Source organism: Homo sapiens, chromosome 12, assembly GCF_000001405.40.
Source record: "Homo sapiens chromosome 12, GRCh38.p14 Primary Assembly".
NCBI lineage: Eukaryota > Metazoa > Chordata > Mammalia > Primates > Hominidae > Homo > Homo sapiens.
The window spans coordinates 123137060-123158787 of NC_000012.12; the positions used below are offsets into that span (position 1 = coordinate 123137060).

The 21728-nt window shown below is 48.0% G+C and overlaps 2 protein-coding genes across 46 annotated transcripts in view, besides 4 other annotated features; both read right to left on the reverse strand.

The window, feature by feature from the left end:
• PITPNM2 (phosphatidylinositol transfer protein membrane associated 2) overlaps positions 1–14789 on the reverse strand; it is a 168369-nt gene extending 153580 nt beyond the window's left edge. For 11 of the 24 annotated variants that reach the window (XM_047429206.1, XM_047429208.1, XM_047429215.1 and 8 more), the window contains exon 1: positions 14579–14789. The gene's annotated coding sequence lies outside the window, so the exon portion shown is untranslated. The other 13 variants (XM_047429216.1, XM_047429210.1, NM_001384661.1 and 10 more) reach the window with 4 other exon arrangements.
• Positions 13585–13674: a silencer, noted in NCBI's record as "silent region_5028". NCBI's record gives its function as "represses an Ori minimal core promoter by ATAC-STARR-seq in GM12878 lymphoblastoid cells {active_cell/tissue: GM12878}" and the evidence as "EXISTENCE:reporter gene assay evidence [ECO:0000049][PMID:35858748]".
• Positions 13775–13914: a silencer, noted in NCBI's record as "silent region_5029". NCBI's record gives its function as "represses an Ori minimal core promoter by ATAC-STARR-seq in GM12878 lymphoblastoid cells {active_cell/tissue: GM12878}" and the evidence as "EXISTENCE:reporter gene assay evidence [ECO:0000049][PMID:35858748]".
• Positions 13935–14194: a silencer, noted in NCBI's record as "silent region_5030". NCBI's record gives its function as "represses an Ori minimal core promoter by ATAC-STARR-seq in GM12878 lymphoblastoid cells {active_cell/tissue: GM12878}" and the evidence as "EXISTENCE:reporter gene assay evidence [ECO:0000049][PMID:35858748]".
• Positions 14215–14414: a silencer, noted in NCBI's record as "silent region_5031". NCBI's record gives its function as "represses an Ori minimal core promoter by ATAC-STARR-seq in GM12878 lymphoblastoid cells {active_cell/tissue: GM12878}" and the evidence as "EXISTENCE:reporter gene assay evidence [ECO:0000049][PMID:35858748]".
• A 475-nt stretch (positions 14790–15264) lies between the features above and the next one.
• Positions 15265–21728, reverse strand: part of MPHOSPH9 (M-phase phosphoprotein 9) — a 91679-nt gene continuing 85215 nt past the window's right edge. For 12 of the 22 annotated variants that reach the window (XM_017018673.2, XM_047428066.1, XM_047428065.1 and 9 more), the window contains 2 exons: positions 17989–19849; positions 15265–17371 (listed from right to left, as the gene is read on the reverse strand). In XM_017018673.2, the coding sequence (XP_016874162.1) occupies positions 19748–19849 (102 nt within the window). In that variant the 3' untranslated portion in view covers positions 15265–17371; positions 17989–19747. The other 10 variants (XM_047428060.1, XM_047428061.1, XM_047428056.1 and 7 more) reach the window with 6 other exon arrangements.

A 21728-nucleotide genomic window follows, 5' to 3' on the forward strand; every position in this document is an offset into this window, starting at 1 on the left:
AGGGCAAGTGTGACTTCGTGAATGCCAGACTGACTTTCCGCTCTGAGCCAGCCACCCAGGCGGCTGCCCATGTCATCCTCCTGGATTCATTTCCTGGAGCACCAAAGAGGCGGACCAAGGGGACAGAACTACAGGAGGCTATGTGTCTCGTGCCTTCCCTACCACTATCTGTTAGGAGTCAGCACACATTCTGAAGGCCACCAAGAGCCAGGACACATACCTGCCACCTTTTCCTGGAGCTGGCCCCAGAACCTCTTCAGGAAAGGGGGCCCTCTGGCAGATAGAATCACAGGTGAGCCCCTCTGGCTCCTTCCAGATCATGGAAGGCCGAGGTGGGCAGAAGAAGGCTGTGCCCTACCAACCCTCATACTCATGACTGATGAATACCTGCTCTGTGCCTGACCAGGACAACAGCAGCTCATGAGTGTACTTGACAGCTCATAAAGCCACCCTCCCAGCCAGTCTCTCTGAATCCACACAGCAGCCTTGAGGGACCACTGCTACTGTTACCAGGTGGGTATTGGAACCAAGGCACAGAAAGGTGCTCTCGTGGCTGGGTGCAGTAGCTCACACCTATCATCCCAGCACTTTGGGAGGCCGAGACAGGCGGATCACTTGAGGCCAGGAGTTTAAGACCAGCCTGGCCAACAAAGTGAAACCCCATCTCTACTAAAAATACAAAAATTAGCGGGACGTGGTGGTGCGTGTCTGTAGTGCCAGCTACTCAGGAGGCTGAGGCAGGAGAATCACTTGAACCCGGGAGATGGAGGCTGCAGTGAGCCAAGATCACACCACTGTACTCCAGCCTGGGTGACAGAGCGAGATTCTGTCTCAAAAAAAAAAAAAAAGAAGAAGAAGAAGAAAGCAAAACAAAAGAAAGATGCAACTGTCAGTGGTCACTTACCTTGGAAATGGGACAACTGATGTCTCTGGGTCCCTAAACCCTCCTAGTTCAGTTGTCTTTTGTTGTTCCTCATCCAGAGGCAAACCAAAGTCAAAATTTCACTAGCCCAGAAACATCTAAACGTCTATCAATGGATGAATGAAGAAAGAAAATGTGGTGTATGCCTACAATGAACCATTAGTCAGTCTTAAAAAGAAAAGACGGCCGGTGCAATGGTTCACGCCTGTAATCCCAACACTTTGGGAGGCTGAGGTGGGTGGATCGCTTGAGCTCAGGAGTTCAAGACCAGCCTGGGCAACATGGCAAAACCCCATCTCTGCAAAAAAATACAAAAATTATCCAGACATGGTGGTGCGTGCCTGTAGTCCCAGCTACTCGGGAGGCTGAGGCAAGAGGATCACTTGAGCCCAGGAGTTCGAGGCTGCAGTAAGCTGTGTTGGTGTCACTGCACAAGCAACAGAGAGAGACCCTGTTTCAAAAATAAAAATGTTTAAAATGGTAAATGTTATATTATGTATATTTTACCACAAAAAAAGGAATGAAGTACTGATCCATGATACAACATGGTTGAACCTTGAAAACACTATGTTATGTGAAAGAAACCAGACACAAAAGGCCATACATTATATGATTCCATTTAATATAAATATGAAATGTTCAGAACAGGTAAATCAATAGAAACAGAAAGTAGATGAGTTGTTGCCAGGGGGCTGGGAGAGGGAAGAATGGGGAGTGACTGCCAATGGGTGTAGGGTCTCCTTCTGGAGTGATGAAAGTGTTCTGGAATTCGATAGAGCCAGTGAGTGCACACTGCTGTGAATATACTATATAACACTGAATTATATACTTTAAAAATCCTTTCAATTTTATAAAATTAAATTTTAATTTTACAGGCTGGGCACAGTGATTCACACCTGTAATCCCAGCACTTTGAGAGGCCCAGGCAGGAGGATCACTTGAAGCCAGGAGTTCAAGACCAGCCTGGGCAACATAGCAAGACCCTGTCTCTACAAAAAATTAGGCAATTAGCCAGGCACTGTGATGCACGCCTGTAGTCCCAGCTACTTGGGAGGCTGAGGCAGGAGGATCCCTTGAGCCCAGGAGGTTGAGGTTGCAGTGAGCTACGATTGTGCTACTGCACCCCAACCTGGGAGAGAGTGAGATCCTGTCTCAAAAATAAATAAATAAATAATTAAAATGGTTAATTTCATATCATGTGTAAATTCACCTCAGTTTTTAAAAACAGACAATCGTTGGCCAGGCACGGTGGCTCACACCTGTAATCCCAGCACTTTGGGAGGCCGAGGCAGGCGGATCACAAGGTCAGGAGATGGAGACCATCCTGGCTAACACAGTGAAACCCTGTCTCTACTAAAAACACAAAAAAATTAGCTGGGTGTGGTGGCGGGCGCCTGTAGTCCCAGCTACTCAGGAGGCTGAGGCAGAAGAATGGCATGAACCCGGGAGGCGGAGCTTGCAATGAGGCGAGATCGTGCCACTGCACTCCAGCCTGGGCGACAATGAGAGATTACCTCTCAAAAAAAAAAAAAAACAACAGACAACTGCACATCTCTGCCTTCTTTCCTGCTCTGTCCAAAGCCTCACCTGGTGCCTCTCTTTTTCCACTGGGCTTCCAGAGACCCTTCCTGTCCTCTCCCACACACCACATCTGCTGGAATCTACTGCATTTTCTCTCTGCATCTGAGGCCTTAACATGGCCAGAAGCTTAGAATCTTTCTGGGTTATTCTAAGCACCTAGGCAAGACTATAGTGAGAGTAGGAATAAACTGGCAATCCACCACCTGGAGAGAAGGGAGGCCCAGCCCTGAGACCTCATTGTTTGCTTTCTGGGGAATCCCTGTCCATCCCAGAGGCCAAGTAGTCCACTTCTACTTTTCCAGGTATGACTTATTATCACCCCTTCCCCACAGACCACCTCCCCCAAGTTTTCTTTCATCCAGAGATTTAATTAAATCCCTCTTTCAAATTTAGAACCAAGTTAGGCAACCTGAGGAAACCTAAAAAGGGATAACTCAGTGTCCCCTGGCACCCCACAGGCTGGCTGGGACACCCAGGTCCTGGGAGCTAAATCAAGAGGACAGCAACGCAGGTCTGACTCTAGATGGTCTGAGAAGTTCAAGGGATGTGTCTCTATCTAGATCAAGAACCAGGTTCAGCTGCTCTGAACATGCCCCCTTAGGCCCCCGGGGAACGCAGGCCCTATAACTCCTGCTAAGGGGACCTGAGTCAGAGGTTCCCACACTGGGACCACCTGCATCACCTCTTAATCCTCTTAGCCCAGTGGCCACAGGCCCTTCTGCTCCTTCAGCCCAGAACAGCCCAGAGACAGCAAGGAAAGTGGGCACCCCCAGAGGACACAGCCACCAGTTCCAGCCTCCTCCTCCCCAACCTGGCTTCCTGTTGCCCTATTCATGAGGTCAGCTCTGGGCCCCTGCTCCTTCTTTAATGAGTCAGAGAACAAGGAAAAGAGCAAAAATGAGCAGGCTCAGGGAAAGATGGAGACTAAGCTGGCTCTGGCTGGAGGTGAGCGAGGCCCCTCCTCCAGGACAAGCCGCTAGGAACTGTGCTCTTTTTAAAAAAATCCCCTGCCCCACCCCCTAACAGAAAGGAGGCCATAAACAGGGATCTGCTTGACCAGCTGTCACCCAGCCAGTCTGAACGTTGTTCTCCCTTAAAGGGAGAAAAAGGCACTGACTCTCAAGTAAGACTCCTAAACCCCCCAGGACCACACCCCAGAGGCCTAGCTAGACCCCACTCCTGCTCTCTAACCTCCAGCCTACAGGTGCATGGCTGGACAACTTCACAAGTAGGTCCAAATTTGGCCTCAAAGTCACATAGACAGATGTGATCCCAGAGCATGTAATCCTGTCTTGGTGAATCTGCTCTAAGTCCATGCATCCCTTTGGCCTCTTTGAAAAGGAAAAGCTACAGAACAAACAGAAGAGGAATTCTGTTTTCCTCTTGGAAAAAAGAAAAGGGAAAAAAAAAAACCCCATACAAACCCAAATTGAAAGGTACTTTGTACTGCTTAGACTCAACTAGATCAGGAAATACTGATGGATTTTTTAAAACAACAGCACAGGCTGTGTAACAGAACATGACCAAACACAAGCATGAACATGAGGGATCAGGTCTAGAGTCCAGCCAGCAGTTAACTCCCTGTGTGGTGAGGCCTAAGTCATGACATCTCTGAGTCTTAGGGTCCCCATCTGTGAGACACAAAAAATGAAAGCACTGAGGGCCATACCATGACTTCTCTGAGCCTCAGTTTCCTCACCTGTAAAATGGGCACAGCAACATTTGTGAGAGTCCTGTGAAGCACAATGGGCAGAAGTATGCCATGCACTGCGGTGTCTTAGACAAAAGGTGGGTAAGCGGGAAAGGCCCCTCCCCTCTGCACCTCCAGCCACTGCCTCTGCAAGAACAATCCACAGACGCTGGATCACTACCATGCCACTGGGCCTGGCACCAGCAACTCAAACACAAATAGCTAAGATCCCCCCAGCCTGAGAAGCAGCTGGGATACGCCAGGGATGCCTCTGGTTTGGAGGCTTCCCTGGAGAAAGAAGAGCAGCCGTCTCCTGGAGAGGGAAGAGCAGCCGTCTCCTGGAGCAGGAATCTTAAGCACCAGAAAAGCCCATAACACAGAGTCGACGAGGCTGGGTATGGTATAGGAGCCACTGGCCTGAACCCTGCAAGCACCAGTCCTGCAGCTCCCAGGCCACCAAGACAAACCTGAGTGAGCTGCACGTCCCAGATTTTATGAGCCGGCCTCCAGCTCACTAGCTGTGTCCTTGAGTCTTAATCCCGCTCCACTGCCAACACCCCACACCCAGCCCTGTGATCTCAGGGTTTCAGGGAAATGGAAAGTCATTCCCCTTTGTGGAAAGGTCAAACCCTTGGACTCGGTTTTTTCCAGTGCTCCTTCTGGCTCTCCTATTTGTTTGATTCTAAATTCCTTTATCCCCCCTGCTGGAAAGTCAGACAGAACATTCCTCAGGAAAGAGAACTTTTAGTGGGGGTGTGGTGGGGAGGAATAATTGAAGTAAAATGAAAAATGGGTGAAATCAGGTACTATAAAATCTTGGTATTCAAAGAGTGCACGACAAATTGCACCGGTCAGCAGTCACTACCGTGAACTCACAATGCTCTGGTGAGTCACCCAAGGCTGGGAACTGAAGTCAAACTAATACTCTCTATCACAGTACAGGACAGGAGCTCAGCTGCATACTAATGGCAAGAATCCGCTAAATGCATCCCTTGCTACTCCCAGCAGCAAATGCATAAGCTATTTCACACTCAAATATAAATTAGTGAGCTATTTTCCTTGCTGGGTTAATACAAATCGTGCTCTGGACCAATTAAGTAAGCCACTTCAAAACTTTGCTTCAGCGTATTGGAAAATGTCCCGCTTAGGGGAAGAATGAAGTCTCGAGTGATGCATGCCCAACTGATGGCGAAATAGGTGAGAGTGCTTTCAGAATTCTTGAGGATTTTGTTATTAATGGTGTTTTAGTGTTGGGTTCTTAAACACATCAAACAAATTTCCTTTAAACTAGTAGTTCCTGACTGCCATGGGGAAGGCTGCAGGCCTCCCACCTCCCAGATGGTTCAACCACAATAAACGTTTGGCCTGTCAGATGCACAACACTGATGAACTAATTGAAATATGCTGCAACAAGCAAACCCAAAATAAATGTAAAATAATTGTTTCCTTACACGATAACCCGCTGAAGTGCCTCCACGTCTGGCCACCCCTGCTGATTGAATGTTCCCCCTGCTCCGTGAGCCTCACTTATGTGTGGTTTTCAAAGGATTTAAATGCTTTTTTCCAGTGTGATTACCCACATGGGAAAAATTCTAATTGCAAAAAATGTTGAGTTTTTCTCCCTCTTATGAAAAAAAAAAAAAAGCAAGTGAAAAGTCAACTGTTATAAAGTACCAAGGAAAGCACTTAAATGGGCCCTTCAGTGTGAGAGGAAGAATGTCCTCCTGTTCTCCAGAGCACCGTCGCCAAGCCAGTGTTAAGCACGCATCCACACCTGTGGGGAAGCCCTGCCTCTCAGACAACCTCACGCCACTGATGAAAGCTGGGAATAGCCACCTATTTCTACCCTGACACACCCATCCCTATCCCCCTCCCCCCTCCCTCGATCCCTCCCTCCAAGGGGCTGTCTAGAGAGACAGCAGAGGGTGGAGCCAGCAGCACCCATAACAAGCTCTCCCACTGGCTCACCACCTCATGCAGGACACTGGTGCCCAGTGAGCCCTCCCTAGGGGGCTGGGAAGCCCAAGGGCCTGATTCTAATCCCAGGAGGACAACAGAAGCAAAGTGCACAGCCCTGCTCCACAGCACAGCCTGTGAGTCAGACTTGGAAGGGAAGCCCCCCAGCTGCCAAAAGAGAAAATTCAGGCCCTCCCCAGGAGCCACCTCTCAAAAGGGGAAATAAACAGCTCTGCAGAGGAGAAACAGTAATAATCCGTATGACGTACGTACGAACTCTTAAGAGGGCACACAACAGGCAAAAGACTTGGGAAAGCTTCCTCTGAGAGAGCCCAGGCATAAGAAGGCCACAATTTGAGGCATGGGGGCCCCAGGAACCCCCCATCTTGGCCTGAAACACCTCCGTAAGAGGATTATTCCTTTGGGAGAAGGATTGGTCTCAGCTCCTAAGAAAGGCCAAGTCTATTGCAGGGCTGCCGCCAGAACCCACTGCATGAAAGTACAGGGTCCCTCCTACCTGTAGACTTGAGCAGAGAGAGATGGGCACCATTCTGCTGGCAGCAGCCCTTCTAGAAGAAGCTACAGCAGGGCTGAGGGAGGACAGCTTGTCTTTCTGTAGCACCTAAGACAAGCAAACACAAGAATCTGCCCACAGCCTCATCCCGCAGCTCCAGTCTTCATCCATTAAGTACCATCAGCATTGTGAGGTGCCCTGAGCTAGGCTGGATACACCGTGGGGGCTGACATGATGCCAAAGGTGGCAGATCCTCACTATCCATGGATTCCATATTTGTGAATTACCCTAGTCACTAAAATTTATCTGTAACCCCAAAATCAATGCTCATGGTGCTTTCAAATTCATTTTCAAATTTGTGCAAATTGGCAAAAAATTTGAGTTGCCTGATGGCACATTCCCTGCTGAGGTTGAACGAGGGGACATCCTCTATCTTCCCATCTCAGCTCTCCTAATGGAAACACGTGTCCTTTTTGTGGTCTGTGCAGTGCCACATTTTTGGCACTTGTGTGCTTTGTGTTGGTGATTTTGCTGTTTGGAATGGCCCCCAATCACAGTGCTGAGGTGCAGTCTAGTTCTTGGGTGCAAGATGATTATGATGTGCAGAGAAAATCTCTTGTGTTAGAGAAGCTTCATTCAGACATGAGTCACAGTGTTGATGGCCAGGAGTTTAATGTTAATGAATCAATGATACATATTAAATAGGGTGTCTTTTTTGTTGTTGTTTTGAGACAGAGTCTCACTCTGTCGCCAGGCCAGAGTGCAGGGGCACGATCTCGGCTCACTGCAACCTCCACCTCCTGGGTTCAAGCAATTCTCCTGCCTTAGCCTCCTGAGTAGCTGGGATTACAGATGGACACCACCAAACCCAGCTAATTTTTGTATTTTTAGTAGAGATGGGGTTTCACCATGTTGGCCAGGATGGTCTCGATCTCTTGACCTCATTATCTGCCCACCTCGGCCTCCCAAAGTGCTAGGATTACAGGCATGAGCCACTGTGCCCAGCCAATTTTTGTATTTTTAGTAGACACAGGGTTTCACCATGTTGGCCAGTCTGGTCTCGAACTCCTGACCTCAGGTAATCCACCCGCCTCGGCCTCCCAAAGTGCTGGGATTATAGGCATGAGCCACCATGCCCGATCTCTTTTAACAGAAACATATATAAAATAAGATTACATATGGATTGGTTAAAGAAAATATTGTCCCCGCAGGCTCAAAGGAGCCTAACCCTGTGTTTTCCCTAGGAGCAGTGGTTCAGTGTTCACTAACTCAGTGTTTGAAGAGGGACTTTATAGAACATAACTATGTTAGCCAGCGTGGTGCACAAGTCTGTAGTCCCAGCTACTCAGGAGGCTGAGGCAGGAGGATCATTGGGCCCAGGAGTTTGAAGCTGCAGTGAGCAATGATTGCACCACTGCACTCCAGCCTGGGAGACAGAGAGAGACCCTGTCACAAAAAATAAAAAAAGAAGAACCTAACTATGGCCAACAATATGAATCAAATAACTATGCATACATGTATGCATAGTCAGGATATACTTTCCTCAGACAGAGCTATTCCACCCTACATTCATGTGCTCCTAAGGCTGCAGGTTGGCATGTCCACACCCAATAGGGAGTTTGAGCTGTCAGCTTCTGCTCCAAGGCTGGAATCAGCCTTGAGGTCTCTTGGGTCCTGCTGCTGCTCTGATAACACTCTGCCTTTTCCCTGGACCCATGACTCCCGCTGACGTCCCTGATCATGACCTCTGATCTTTCTGACTAGCCAGGTCTTAATAAGACCCCTTTCCACAATAGAGATAAGGGACTTCAGAGGCAATGGCACTCAAGGAAAAGCTTTATGAAGAATGGGGAACTTCAACAAGGAGAGTGTGAAACTGATTTTTCCATGCTCTCTCTCCAAGGTTGTCTTGGGTTTTTGATTTGTCTGTTACCGGAAACCTGCCTGTTGGTTAATCTCCTTTGTGTCCTCTAGCAAGGGCAGTTGTTAATATAAGTAATTTGGCCAGCCACAATGGCTCACACCTCAAGAGGACTGCTTGAACCTGGGAGTTCCAGACCAGTCTGGGCAACATAGCAAGACGTCGTCTCTACTAAAAATATCGTTCTATCATAAAGATACAGGCACACGTATGTTCATTGCAGCACTATTCACAATAGCAAAGACATGGAATCAACCTAAATGCCCCATCAATGGTAGACTGGAAAAGAAAATGTGGTATATATACACATAGTATAGAATACTATACAGTCATAAAAAAGAATGAGATCATGTCCTTTGCAGGAACATGGATGAAACTGGAGGCCATTATTCTTAGCAAACTAATGAAAGAACAGAAAACCAAACACCACAAGTTCTTACTTATAAGTGGGAGCTAAAGGTGAGAACACACGGACACATAGAGGGGGGTAACACACACTGGGACTTATTGGAGGGTGGAGGGTGGGAGGAGGGAGAGGATCAGGAAAAATAACTAATGGGTACTAGGTTTAGTACCTGAGTGATGAAATGATCTGTATAACAAGCCCTCATGACACAAGTCTACCGACACAACAAACCTGTGCTTGTACCCCTGAACTTAAAAGTTAACAGCTGGGCGTGGTGGCTCATGTCTGTAATACCAGCACTTTGGGAGGCCAAGGTGGGCGGATCACTGGAGGTCAGGAGTTCGAGACCAGCCTGGCCAACATGGCAAAACCCATCTCTACTAAAAATACAAAAATTAGCCCGGTGTGGTGGTGGGCGCCTGTAATCCCAGCTACCCAGGAGGCTGAGGCAGGAGAATCGCTTGAATCTGGGAGGCAGAGGTTGCAGTGAGCCAAGATCACATCATTGCACTGCAGCCTGGGCAACAAGAGCGAAATTCCATCTAAAAATAATAATAATTTTTAAAAAATACAATAAAAGTTTAAAAAAAAAAAAGAGTAAGCAAATGCCAGCCTGCCCCTCCTAACAGCACTCGTCGTGTCTTTGACCATAAATGTTTAGCAGAGGTTTGTCCTGGTGTTGCTAGGTTGGGCGTGAGGAGGTCAATGCTCCATACTCATTTCACAGGAAACAAGGACCCATGTACAGGGCTGTCACTTTTAAAAAAGAGCATTAAACCGGTAATCAGGGACTTGGGTTCCAGGCTAGAAGAGAGGTCTTGTGCAAATCACTTCTATTCTGCCAGCCTCTGCCTCTCATCCTCAACAGGGTGCAGGCCCTCCCAGCTCCAGTCTTCTGGGACCCTCCATCAAAGATACAGAGGATTTGAAAAAGGCATCACCAGGTTCCCCACTTTAATATCTGGACCAATTCTCTCCTTTCCCACCAGAAGACCTGTTCTGCAGGGCCATTGTGATGACCAGAGATTTTAGACTCTAAGTCCTACACACCTTTACAGTTGCTGTGGACTATCAAAACTACCCATTCTTCAAGCCCCCTTCAAGTCCCACTTCTTTCAGGAAGTCAACCCTGACTGCCTTACCCAGAAAGGGCATCTCCTCCTCTGAACTCTACCTTCAACAACTCTTATCACACATACCCTTTGTTCCCCATGGACTCATCTCCCTAACCACACTGTGAGTTAGTGTGTTAGGTACAATGTTACCTTTTTATTTTTATTTATTTTTTCTTTTCTCACTCTGCTGCCCAGGCTGGAGTGCAGTGGCACAATCATAACTCACTGCAGCCTGAAACTCCTAGGCTAAAGGGATCCTCCCATCTCAGCTACAGGCGCACACCACCACGCCCAGCTAGCAATGTTACTTACTATATTTAATTCACTTATCCATACAGTTTTCCAGAAGCCTTTTGTGATGACTTTATAAAGAATATATATAGAGAGATTTATACATAAACACACACACAGAAAAAGAGACAGTTCAGGAAAGCAGCAATAAATATGCTGATGTTGAGGGTAATATAGTTGCTAGACAGAATATCACATTGTGTGCTGAGCAGCCTGGAAGCCAAGGAGAAGAGGAGAAACATAATCAGTTGGAAAGACAGTGTGGTATAGAAAGAGCCACACATAGTGTGGCAAAGAAGCAGAACTGAGTGCAAATCCAGGGAAACTTGGGCAAGTTAGTTGACCTCTCTGTGTGTCTTAACTTCTTTCTCTGGGAAAAAGGGGAAGAATACAACCTACCCTGCACAGTGTGTCAGGGAGGCCCAAGCACACTGCATGGTGCATAGTATACAAACAAAACGTGTTTTCCTTCCCCACTTTCCTTTTCATTATCAAAGGAGAAAGCAACCTAGTTTCCTGCGGGAAGGCAAAGTTTGCCTGGCCCTAAATTCTAAAAGAAAATTTTAATATGGGTCACTGTAAGAAGCCTTTAGAAAGGGGAAAATGCCTCAGATTATGGTTTTAGAGTAAACCAGATGAGGATTTGCCATGGCTCTATTTGATAACATTCCAGGGTACCAGTAAAAGCTTAATAAACATCAACCAAATGACCTACAGAGAAGCTGTGCAAAGACCACTTAGCCGCATCTGTGTTTGGAGGCAGGGAGTCCTGTTAAGCAGCTTTCAGGGTGACTATCTGCAAAGGGATTGATCTCATCTAAGCGAAGTTGAGAACTGGCGTACAATGGCTCATTTTGGATTGACTCTGCGGTCATAAGCAGTGGCTCCTCCTGCCCATGGCCAAAGACACTGGAGCAATACCACTACGCTTACATTAAAGAGCACACGGCCCTGGCATTTTTTCCAAAAACAGCAAGGCAGTGATCTCAAAGTACCAGACGTTTCCTCTGCTAATCTCTACAGATAACTGCACATCCTCTATGACTGGTCTTCTCGAAGACCAAGTTGGAAAGACTTTAACTAGATGGGCTGGTTAGGAGAGCATCTATCTGCTTGGTGTTAAAACAGGCCTCTAGACACGGAGGAAGGCAACGGGTCCCCATAACAGAGAATGTATAAGCAATCAACTCTGGACAAGAAGGGCTCTCAGTGGTGATCTAGGCCAACCCTCTCACTATTTTCCTAAGTACCTTACTGTGCAGCAAAGCATTGGGGATGCAGAGAAACGTGATACAGCACTAACCGCCCAGGAGCTCACAGTCTAGTGGGGGGCACGTGTAAACAGATAAGGGCCATTCTGTGTGGCAAGCAAATCAGACTAGGGTGGTTCGAAAATCAGAAGAGGGACCAATTCCACCTGCGAAGGCCAAGACTGGGTCTCAACCAGTGAAGAGTTGAAGGCACCTGGGGAGAGGGAGGGCATGGGAGCACCATGCCTTTGAAAGCCTCTAGGTAGCCTGAGAGGACTGCAGCTTAGGGTATGAATGAAATGGTAGGAGAGGAGGCAGAAAAGGTAGACAGGACCCAGATCCCAGGGGGCCTTAGATACGCAGAGGAATTCTTTCAGATTCCATAAGGTGCAACCAAAACCAAGAGAAACCAAGTGACTTAGTTAAGCTCCTGTAGCAAGTTATGGGAAAAGCCAGGCCTGGAACCCCAGTCTCTCGACTCCCGCAGTCCACTTCTCTCCCCTGCTGCCTCCCACGCCTGAGCAGCTGGGGAAGACCAGGAGAGAGAATGGCCCATTCAACACTCACTACCCAGAGAATCTGGAGTCTTTGCCTGGCCATCTTCAGGGCAGAGGATGTACTGTCCTGTTCACTTGGCAAGCCACTCCTTACAAGAAAAACAGCCCTTCCTAACTCATTGTGTTTCTCTCTGCAGTGGGAGAGGGCTGGAAGTCCATTCCAACCACAGAATACAGTCCCTTCATGGAAGGAAAGTAATTTAACAGCAACAGTCCAGGAATCAGACAAGCTATGGTCCCAGAGGCAAGCGTTGGAGGGGCCTTCTGCTCCACGGAGACACTGACTCCACGCAGGGTACTGACCAGGGCAGGAGACCAGAGATGAATCAACTCCAGCCCGGGAGCTCACCGTCCAGCAGGGGAGATAAGGCAGATGGAAAAGTAACTATAAAATAAGGCAGACGGTGATAAGAGTTACACAGGAGATACAGATAGCAGGCAGTGGGAGTTCAGAGCAGAGAGGAGTCTGGGGGATGGATGTTAGGGGAGATTCAGATGAAGGGGAGCACTTACTGCCTTCCCTCCAGAAGTGGGGGGTCTATCCTAGCAGCTCTGGTCACTCCCAGGTGGAGGCCGGGGAGAGAGCTGGTTGTGGACAAAGACAGATGTTCCAGTGAGGTCTCCTTTGAAGAATCCCGACTCTGGGTGGGGGAGGCAGGTAGGCCGGGGTGTTTGGAGAGGCACCCAGCCCACACTTCAGTGGGAGGGAGAGGAGTGCAGGATGTCTCTGCAGGAGCAAGTCGGTGGAAAGGGGACAAGCCTGGAGGACTTGCCTTGAAATGACATTTGCACCGCGCGCACTATGTTCACCTGGAGTGGCCGTTTGGGATTTCTTGCGGGGAGGCAGTGCACACTGGGGCGGGGGACACTGAACTTTCCCTCTCCCCAAGGCCCCCCGATCAGCCCTGCCACGGATAAGAAAGGATTCGGGGTGGGAAGAAGACAGAGCCGGCACCCCATTACCACACGAAGGGGGCACTGAGGATGGAGACGGGCCACACCCCAACCCTGGGCCCCCGACAAGCAGAGGCCACGGCCCGGGCCTGGGGACGTTCAGCTGGAGGCGGGAAGCAGAGAAGGCGGGCCGGGGGCTCACCTCCGCTTCCTCCCGATAGCCCCTTCCTCGCCCTGGCACCGGCACTGCCCACGCCTGCCCCCCGACCGCTATGACACTTGTCCCTGGCGGGGGTCCCCCACGCGGTCGCGACCGACGGAAATTCGGAAATCAGCGTTTCGGGCACGGATCCAGGGCCGGCGACTCACTGAGGCCAGGCTCGGGCGGTCTCCCGAGCGGGGCTCCCGTACGCCACACCCTCCTCCCTGCCCGGGTCTCCGCTCCCTCCTCCAGCCCCCGGCGGGCTGGAGGCTCGGCGGGCGGGCGGGCCGGGGCCTCTCTGGGAGCCGCCGCCCAGATCCCCAGGTCCCCGGCCAGCGCCCGGCACTGCGGGACTCACCGCGGGCCTGCGGAGCGGCCGCCCGGACGCACTCACCCCGCTCGGCGCGGCCGCGGGCTCTGTCCTCTTCGGGGCCCCGGCTGGGCCGCCGCCACCTCACGCCGCCTCACGGGGAGCGCCCGCCCCGCGGCCCCGGCCCGGCCGGCTGCGCCCCGCGCGCCCCCGCCGCCTGCTGGCCCCGGGCGAGCGGCAGAGCCCCGGCGGGCATTGCTCCCGAGCGTCGCAGGCGGGCGGCGGCGGCGCACGTGCTGGCGGGCGGCTCTCGCTGAGGCGGCCGCGAGCTGAGAAGGAAGCGCCGGGCGGGCGGCCGGGGCCGGCTGGACAGCTCTACGCCGCGGCGCCGCGGTGCCCCGCGCACCCCAGCGGCCGCTGCTGCCCGCGCGCGCCGGGCCGGGCTCGCATTCCCTCAGTGGCGGCGGCGCCTCCTCAGGCCGCGCGGGGGAGCGGCGGCGGCGGCGGCGGGGGCGCGTCCCTGCGGAGTCTCGGCCCGGCCCCGCCGCCTCCGCCGGAAGAAACCTCTCCGACTCGGGCAGCCCGCCTGGTTCCTCAGACCTGCCGCGGCGACCCCGCTCCTCCCCGGCTCGCCCGTGTCCTCAGGGCCCGGGACTGGACTCGGGGGCGGCGGCGCGGATCCCCGCCCCGGGCTCCTCGCCCACCGTCCGCAGCAGCCGAGCGCACTCGGGGGCGGGAACCGGCCGACTTGCGGCCACTGTGACTCTTAAAACAGCCTCATTTTAAAAAATGAAGTTTCTTAGGAGCGAAATGGTAAACCAGGGAGGGCAGAGCGCAGCGGGCAGCTCACCGAAGCCCAGCCCCGGGCGCGGTGCTCGCCACACGGTGGGTCCGCGCTCTCCCCTCAGGACGCCCGGGCCGCGGCCCAGGGAACGGCAGAGCCGGGAGCGCAGCCGTCCCGGTCCCCACCTCAGGGAGTAGCTGGAAGAGGATCACGAACAGTTTAATCCGGATGATCTGGCACGACAGGGCTCTCCAATGGGAAGAGCCCCCGGTGGGGGAGCGCCTGGTGACATTCCTTAAAAACATGAGGTGTTTGTTAGGTTGAGCCAGGGTGGACTTGTTTGGCAAAATCTGAAGTCATGGAACTAAAGAGAGCACACCTAAAACTTAGTGATGTGTGACCCATCCCTACTTGTCACCTTATAAGGCTGAGGAGACGGCGGTGCTCCCCTGGAGGAGAGAGGACAAGCTAAAATTAAGGCGGCCTAGATGACTCCAGATGAAGCCGGGGAGGCCGAGCCCCTGACAGCTGCTCACCTCCTGGGGTCACGGCAGAACCCAACTGAACGGGCCAGGAAGGCCATCGTTCCCGACTCGCCTCCAGGTGCCCCTGACCATGACCACGCAGAGGAGGACCAAGGCGTACCACCATCACCTAGAACGCTTCAGCTCCTTCCCTCCACCAAGAGGTGCCCTAGGATCCATCCAGAAAGATCTGCGGAGCCCACAGAGTCCCAACGGGAACTGTGCTCCTGGATGGACGCCCCTTAACCCATAACTCAAGGACTTCTCTATGCCTGGGACTTAAAATCACCAACAACCCGCTCCTGCAGCCAGCTAGCAGAAATAAACACACAAAGGCCACACGCCAGTTCACAGCCACAAGTATTTATTGAGTGCCTGTAGTGCAAGAAAGAGAGATGGTCCCTGCTCCCGCGGAGCTTACAGCTTCACGACTCCAGCATCTGGCTAGATTCAGAAACAACTGCAGCAAGCACTTGTCTACCCACCAGCAGCACTGTAAAAAGCACATTTCTCACATTATCGGTCACTGTTACAGTGAAATTGTTAGATGTAAAAATTATCCTTGAAATCTGTAGTCATAGAGATGACATGGTACATAATGTCCAGCAAATGCACATTTATGGCTTGATTCCTCACATATCTGAGGGGTCTATGGAAATAAAGTACAAATCAGGCAGAAAAGACTTAGTAACACAGTTCCTAAGAATACTGGGGTAGTAGTTTATTATCAAACTACCATAGAGCTCTTGGCAGGGCAGGAAATTATTTCCAGCAAAATTTGTGCAATATAGTGGATTTAATCAAACCTGCAACTGTCAACCATACATGGTCCCTCATGACAGGTAAATATAATCTACCTGTCTGAATGGTAAAAGGCTACAGGTGTGCATTTATTTTTTAAAGCTTCTTAAAGACTCATAGCACAAGTGGCACATTGAAATCTAGTGAAAACTTGAGATAATCTAAAAATTAAAGTGACAAAAGTGTCTAATTTTACTACATATGTAGGTGCAGAGTTCAGATTTCAAGTAGCGTCCAGCAAAGCACGTGGCTTTTCTGGGCGAGAAGGGGATAGCTTTTGGTTGGCTATCACAGACTCCACCTACATCTCCTAACACCCACTGGCAGGCACTTCCTGTGCATGGTTCTGCCCACAAGCTGTCACCTTTAGATGAAACATTTGAAGGGGCAATTATTTGGAGGATACTGGCAATAATTTTTAGAAAAACAACCTATATTTATACCAAATAACCCCCAAGTCACCAATTAAGACCAAAGTGCTTTCTGAACTTACACGTGACAGGTTATCAAATTTGTTAAATTTTTGGTGGCTAAAAAACCAAACACACCAGAGGGATGCTTAATTTAAACTCCAAAAAAGCTCATTTTTTTGCAAAGCGTGAAGAGAACATCTTAGACCACCTAACAAATGTCAGTCCAAGGCAGTTTTTAGGTCAACTGCTTCGGACATAATCTACTTTTTTATTTCAGAAAGTATGCTACCTCAAGGCTGGGCGCAGTGGCTCACGCCTGTAATCCCAACACTATGGGAGGCCAAGGCAGGCAGATCATTTGGGGTCAGAAGTTCAAGACCAGGATGGCCAACATGGTGAGAACCCCGTCTCTACCGAAAATACAAAAATTAACCAGGCGTGGTATGCACCTGTAATCCCACCTACACGGGAGGCTGAGGCAGGAGAATAGCTTGAACCCAGGAGACAGGTTGCAGTGAGCCAGTATCACACCACTGCACTCCAGCCTGGGCAACAGAACTAGAGACTCCATCTCAAAAAAAAAAAAAAAAAAAAAAAAGGATGCTACCTCAAAAACCTACTTAACTCAATGAATCTGAAATATAATATTTCTTGAGCACTTACTAAGCACCAGGCACTTTACAAAATCTCCCTTAATGAAAGGAGTTTTCTTATTTCATCTTATAGCTGAGAAAGGCAGGCCTGTGCCAGGATGTGACCCAGGTCTCTCTGGCTCCAAGTCTCTCCTTTCTTGTCCCCTGAGCCCAGCTCTGCACAACCCTAGCACGGCCACTTTAGCTACATCTGTTGCTTCAGTTGGAAAAGTCCTTCAGTTGCAAAGACCATTTCCATACCTCAGGAGTAGCTCCTGCAAACAGAGGCTTAGCAAGGGAAAGGAAGGGGGCAGATCCAGGCATCAGGGGAGAGTTCACTTTCTATTTGCATTTTAAAAGGCACTTCCCAGAGGTGGCAGATTTGCTTAGGGTTTTTTTTTTTTTTTTCTTTTTAAACTATTAATACCTGCAGCAAAGCCCCAAGCCAACAACAAAAATAGTTTATACCCGGGGATAATAGCTGCTATTTAGAATTGCCATCTTTCCTGCTTTTAGGTGGAGTGTTTTTTCAGTTGAGTGTTCATAAGATAAGCATTACCGAAGAGAAAGACAGCAGAAAGAACTTTCCTTGGTATCCCTCTTCACAGCTATGAAGAAAAAAGAATACATTTTTTAGAAATAAGTGACTGATAGCTCCAATCTATTACACACTTCAAATATCAAAGCATATGCTGAGAGAGAGGCGCAGAAGATGTTTTGATGGAGGTTAACGCCTTTTTTGGAATAAGCCAATATAGGCTACTAAGAAGATAATTCCTTGGCAAGATAAAACTATCATCTCTTCTGAAATGGCATTTTTTAATTCTTAAGAATGTAGTAGATTTTACAATAAAAGTAGGGAACAAGGAAATATCCTAACAATTTTCAAGTTAGTTTTTAATGTCATATCCAGGAACACATTAAAGGTGGTCTTACTAGGTCTTGACACAAGCTGTACTGGAGCTTGATTAAAATGAACATTTTCTTTACCAAGACTAGATTTTTTTTTTCTAAAGGCTAGAAAACCAAGAATAAAGAATACCAAGAATAGGCCGGGTGTGGTGGCTCATGCCTGTAATCCCAGCACTTTGAGGGGCCAAGGCAGGCGGATCACATGAGTTCAGGAGTTTGAGACCAGCCTGGCCAATATGGTGAAACACCATCTCTACTAAAAAAAAAAAAAAGATATATACATACACACACACACATAGACATATACACACACACAAAATTAGCCGGGCGTGGTGGCAGATGCCTGTAATCCCAGCTACCCAGCAGGCTGAGGCAGGAGAATCGCTTGAACCCGGGAGGCAGAGGTTGCAGTGAGCTGAGATCATGCCATTGCACTCCAGCCTGGGCAACAAGGGCAAAACTCCATCTAAAAAAATAAATAAATAAAATAAAATAAAAATAAAAAACAAGAATAAAGGCACTTGATTCTAATTATAAGTAATTTTGATTAGCCTGAAGTCTTCAAAAGTTGCAGAGTAGGGAGCAAAGGTTCAACTGCACTGTCAGACAGGCCACCCTCCTTGCTGAGAAGGGAGCAGGGCTGTGGACCCCTGGCCTGGGGACCAGCCAGGTGAAGGGTGCTCAAAGGTCATTTGAGAGCCTGCTTGGAATAACTGGGATGGCTTGGTTCATTCTAACTACTTATTATTAAGAGCCACATAAAGAGGAAAAGCTCAAAAGCAAACCAAAATTTAAAACCTGAGCATGTTTAGTACGAATCCATTTTGAAAGTTTGGATGAGTCTGTTTATCAACATGTACCGAGCTGGAATATGTGGGGCACTGCGTTCTGATTGGCTACCAAAAACTAAGTAGTTACACAGCTCCAACTTAACCAGCAGTCCCAACACAAACCTGCCAATGCTCCTGGATCAGAGGAGAGACTCCTGCCCACGTGCTACTTCTGAGAGCCAGCGGCTACCACAGAGGCAGTGGGCTGGAGCCCTCTGCAAGGCCGAGGGGAAGGCACCAGGCTCCATCCGGACACACTCCCTGTCCATTAACAAATACAGTAGATTGTGATGATCTAAAGTCTAGTGTTCTTACAGCACCTACAGTGGAAATATTTTCCTTTTGGCCAGGGTGAAGGAGTGGAAAGGGGTGAACATATCCAGATGACAACTATGACGGACAGCTGAAGCCATGCACACTAAGAAAACCAGGCTGCCCTCTTAATCCCTCACGGGGTGGTGGCTTGTATTTCAAAGGGTTTATCTGTCCATTTATTGTCCAGGGTGGGACACAAGTTAATTCAGAACAATGGGCAGAGAGCTACTCTGAGAGCCCTCCAGAGAGGGCTCTCCAATTGTTTAACTTTTTTAGAAAAGATAAAATTAGAGAATTACAATCTCTCTTTTTTCTCTTACAGACAATAAAGTTTAAAGAAAATGAGTTATATTCATGTAGTTTTCAAAGCTTTCCAAGAGTCCATTATTACTATTCTGATATTCACTCTAAGACACGTTTCAAATACGAATTGCATTATCATTTTTTAAAAACCTCAACACAACTGAAATCCAAGGTACACTGTAATTGTTTATGTATTCAGCATGTACTAGTCTATCATTATGGAAGCTATTAAGCTTTATTTTTTAAAAACTGAATTGTATTTACAATGTAGAACAAGTCTATAAAATTGATGTGCAGTTAATTGTAAAAGGATAACACTATTTGTTTAGAAACAAGCTGCTTCCTCTGTTTATATTTCCTTATTCTTGATATAAATTGGAGACAGATACTATTTAAAAATAATGCTTTTTAAATAGTAAAATATACAAGAGATTCCTGAGCATAACAAAAATATCTTGAAAATATGTGGCCATTTGAAGTATAAAATAGCAAGTGTAAGAATAGCATGATTGTAAAACTACTGTTTGAAGGCTTATAAACAGTACAAAATAGTTTGCCTTTTCTGACTGCATAATTATACATTAGTGCAAACAAAAATGTCTCAAAATTTAATGGCTACAAATCTCAAAGATTTGCAGAGGTGCGCAAAACATGGAATTTCTTTAGCGTCATGCGAACTGAACCCAGTTCTCGATTAATCCTTTCCAAACGATCTTCCAAGGCTTCCTAGGTGAAAACAATGGGAAAAGTTTAATTAGAATTCTATACCAAGTTCTATAATCACCACCAAACTGACCTTTCTTTTAGCAAAAGAGCAAGTATAAACACTAAAATTACAATTATTTTGCTTTCTACACGAAACATCTTATGATTTCTTTTAAACTGGACAATATGAATTAGCTTTTCAACTATTCCAAATAACTGCTGTACTTTAAAATATTCTCAATATGTTTGACACATTGAGTATATGGAAATTCTAGTAATAGCAATACAACCAACTGGAAGAGGATAATTCTTTGGCTCTGCTGAAGTGAGAACAGTACAAGAGGAGCCTAGGAGGTGCTTCACACATTTCACCAGAAGAAATGGACACATTTGATCAGTGCTGCATCCCACACATACATAGATCAAATAACTTTCTTCTCACCAAAATTTCTAAGTTAAAAAGGAAAAAAAAAAAACACTGAAGGATACTTTTCTTAAAAAAAAAAATAGATTTCACAATGAATTAACAATTGCTATTTTAAAATAAACAATATTACTGTTAAATAATACCTGGACTATATATCATTATACATACTTCTGTGTTTTTGTTGAGACAGGGTCTTGCTCTGTCACCCAAAGCTGAACTGCAATGGCATGATCATAGCTTACTGCAGCCTCAAACTCCTGGACTCAAGCAATCCTTCCACCTTAGCCTCTCGAGTATCTGAAACTACAGGCAGGCACCACCACACCTGGCTGATTTTAAACATTTTTTTTTTTGCAGAGACAAGATCTCACTATGTCACCCAGGCTGGTCTCGAACTCCTGGCCTCAAGTGATCCACCCACCTCGGCCTCCCAAAGTGCTGGGATTATAGGCATAAGCCACTATACCCAGCCTCATTTTAGTTAATTTATTCAGTATTAATTCCAATGGTGTCCTGAAATAAAACTTAAAATTTTTTTCTTTAATTATAAAAGGATTATAGAACACTTAGAATATAGAAAATTTAGAAGACAAATAAGCAAAAAAGAAAAAAAAACTGTTCCTCTTTCCTGTTTTTTCTGCATACATATATATGCATACCACTTTTATTTTATTTTTTTTTTTTTGGTTGGGGGAGACGGAGTCTCGCTCTGTTGCCCAGACTGGAGTGCAGTGGCACAATCTCAGCTCACTGCAACCTCTGCCTCCCAGGTTCAAGCGATTCTCCTCCCTCAGCCTCAAAAGTAGCTGGGATTACAGGTGCCCACCACCATGCCCGGCTCATTTTCATATTTTTAGTAGAGACAGGGTTTCGCCATATTGGCCAAGCTGGTCTTGAACTCCTGACTGCAGGTGATCTGATCTGCCCACCTCAGCCTCCCAAAGTGCTGGGATTACAGGCGTGAACCACTGCACCCAGCCGTGTATCATTTTTAAAAGAAAAATAAGGCCAAGCATGATGGCTTACACCTGTAATCCCAGCACTTTGGGAGACCAAGGTGGGAGAATCACTTGTGGCCAGGAGTTCGAGACCACCCTGGGCAACACTGCAAGGCCCTGCCTCTACAAAAAAATTTTAAAAATTAGCCAGGTGTGGTGGTGCATGCCTGTAGTCCTAGCTTACTCAAGGGGCTGAGGCCTCAGAGGTCAAGACTACAGTGAGCTATGATTGTGCCAATGCACTCCAGCCTGAGTGACAGAATGAGACCCTGTCTCAAAAAAATTAAAAGAGAAACCTAAGAAGAGAATCAAACTCTATCTCAATTTTTTTTTTTTTGAGACACAGTCTCACTCTGTTGCCCTGACTGGAGTGCAGTGGTGCAATCTCAGCTCACTGCAACCTCCAACTCTTGGGTTCAAGTGAACCTCCTGCCTCAGCCTCCAAGTAGCTGAGATTGCAGGCACACCACCACAA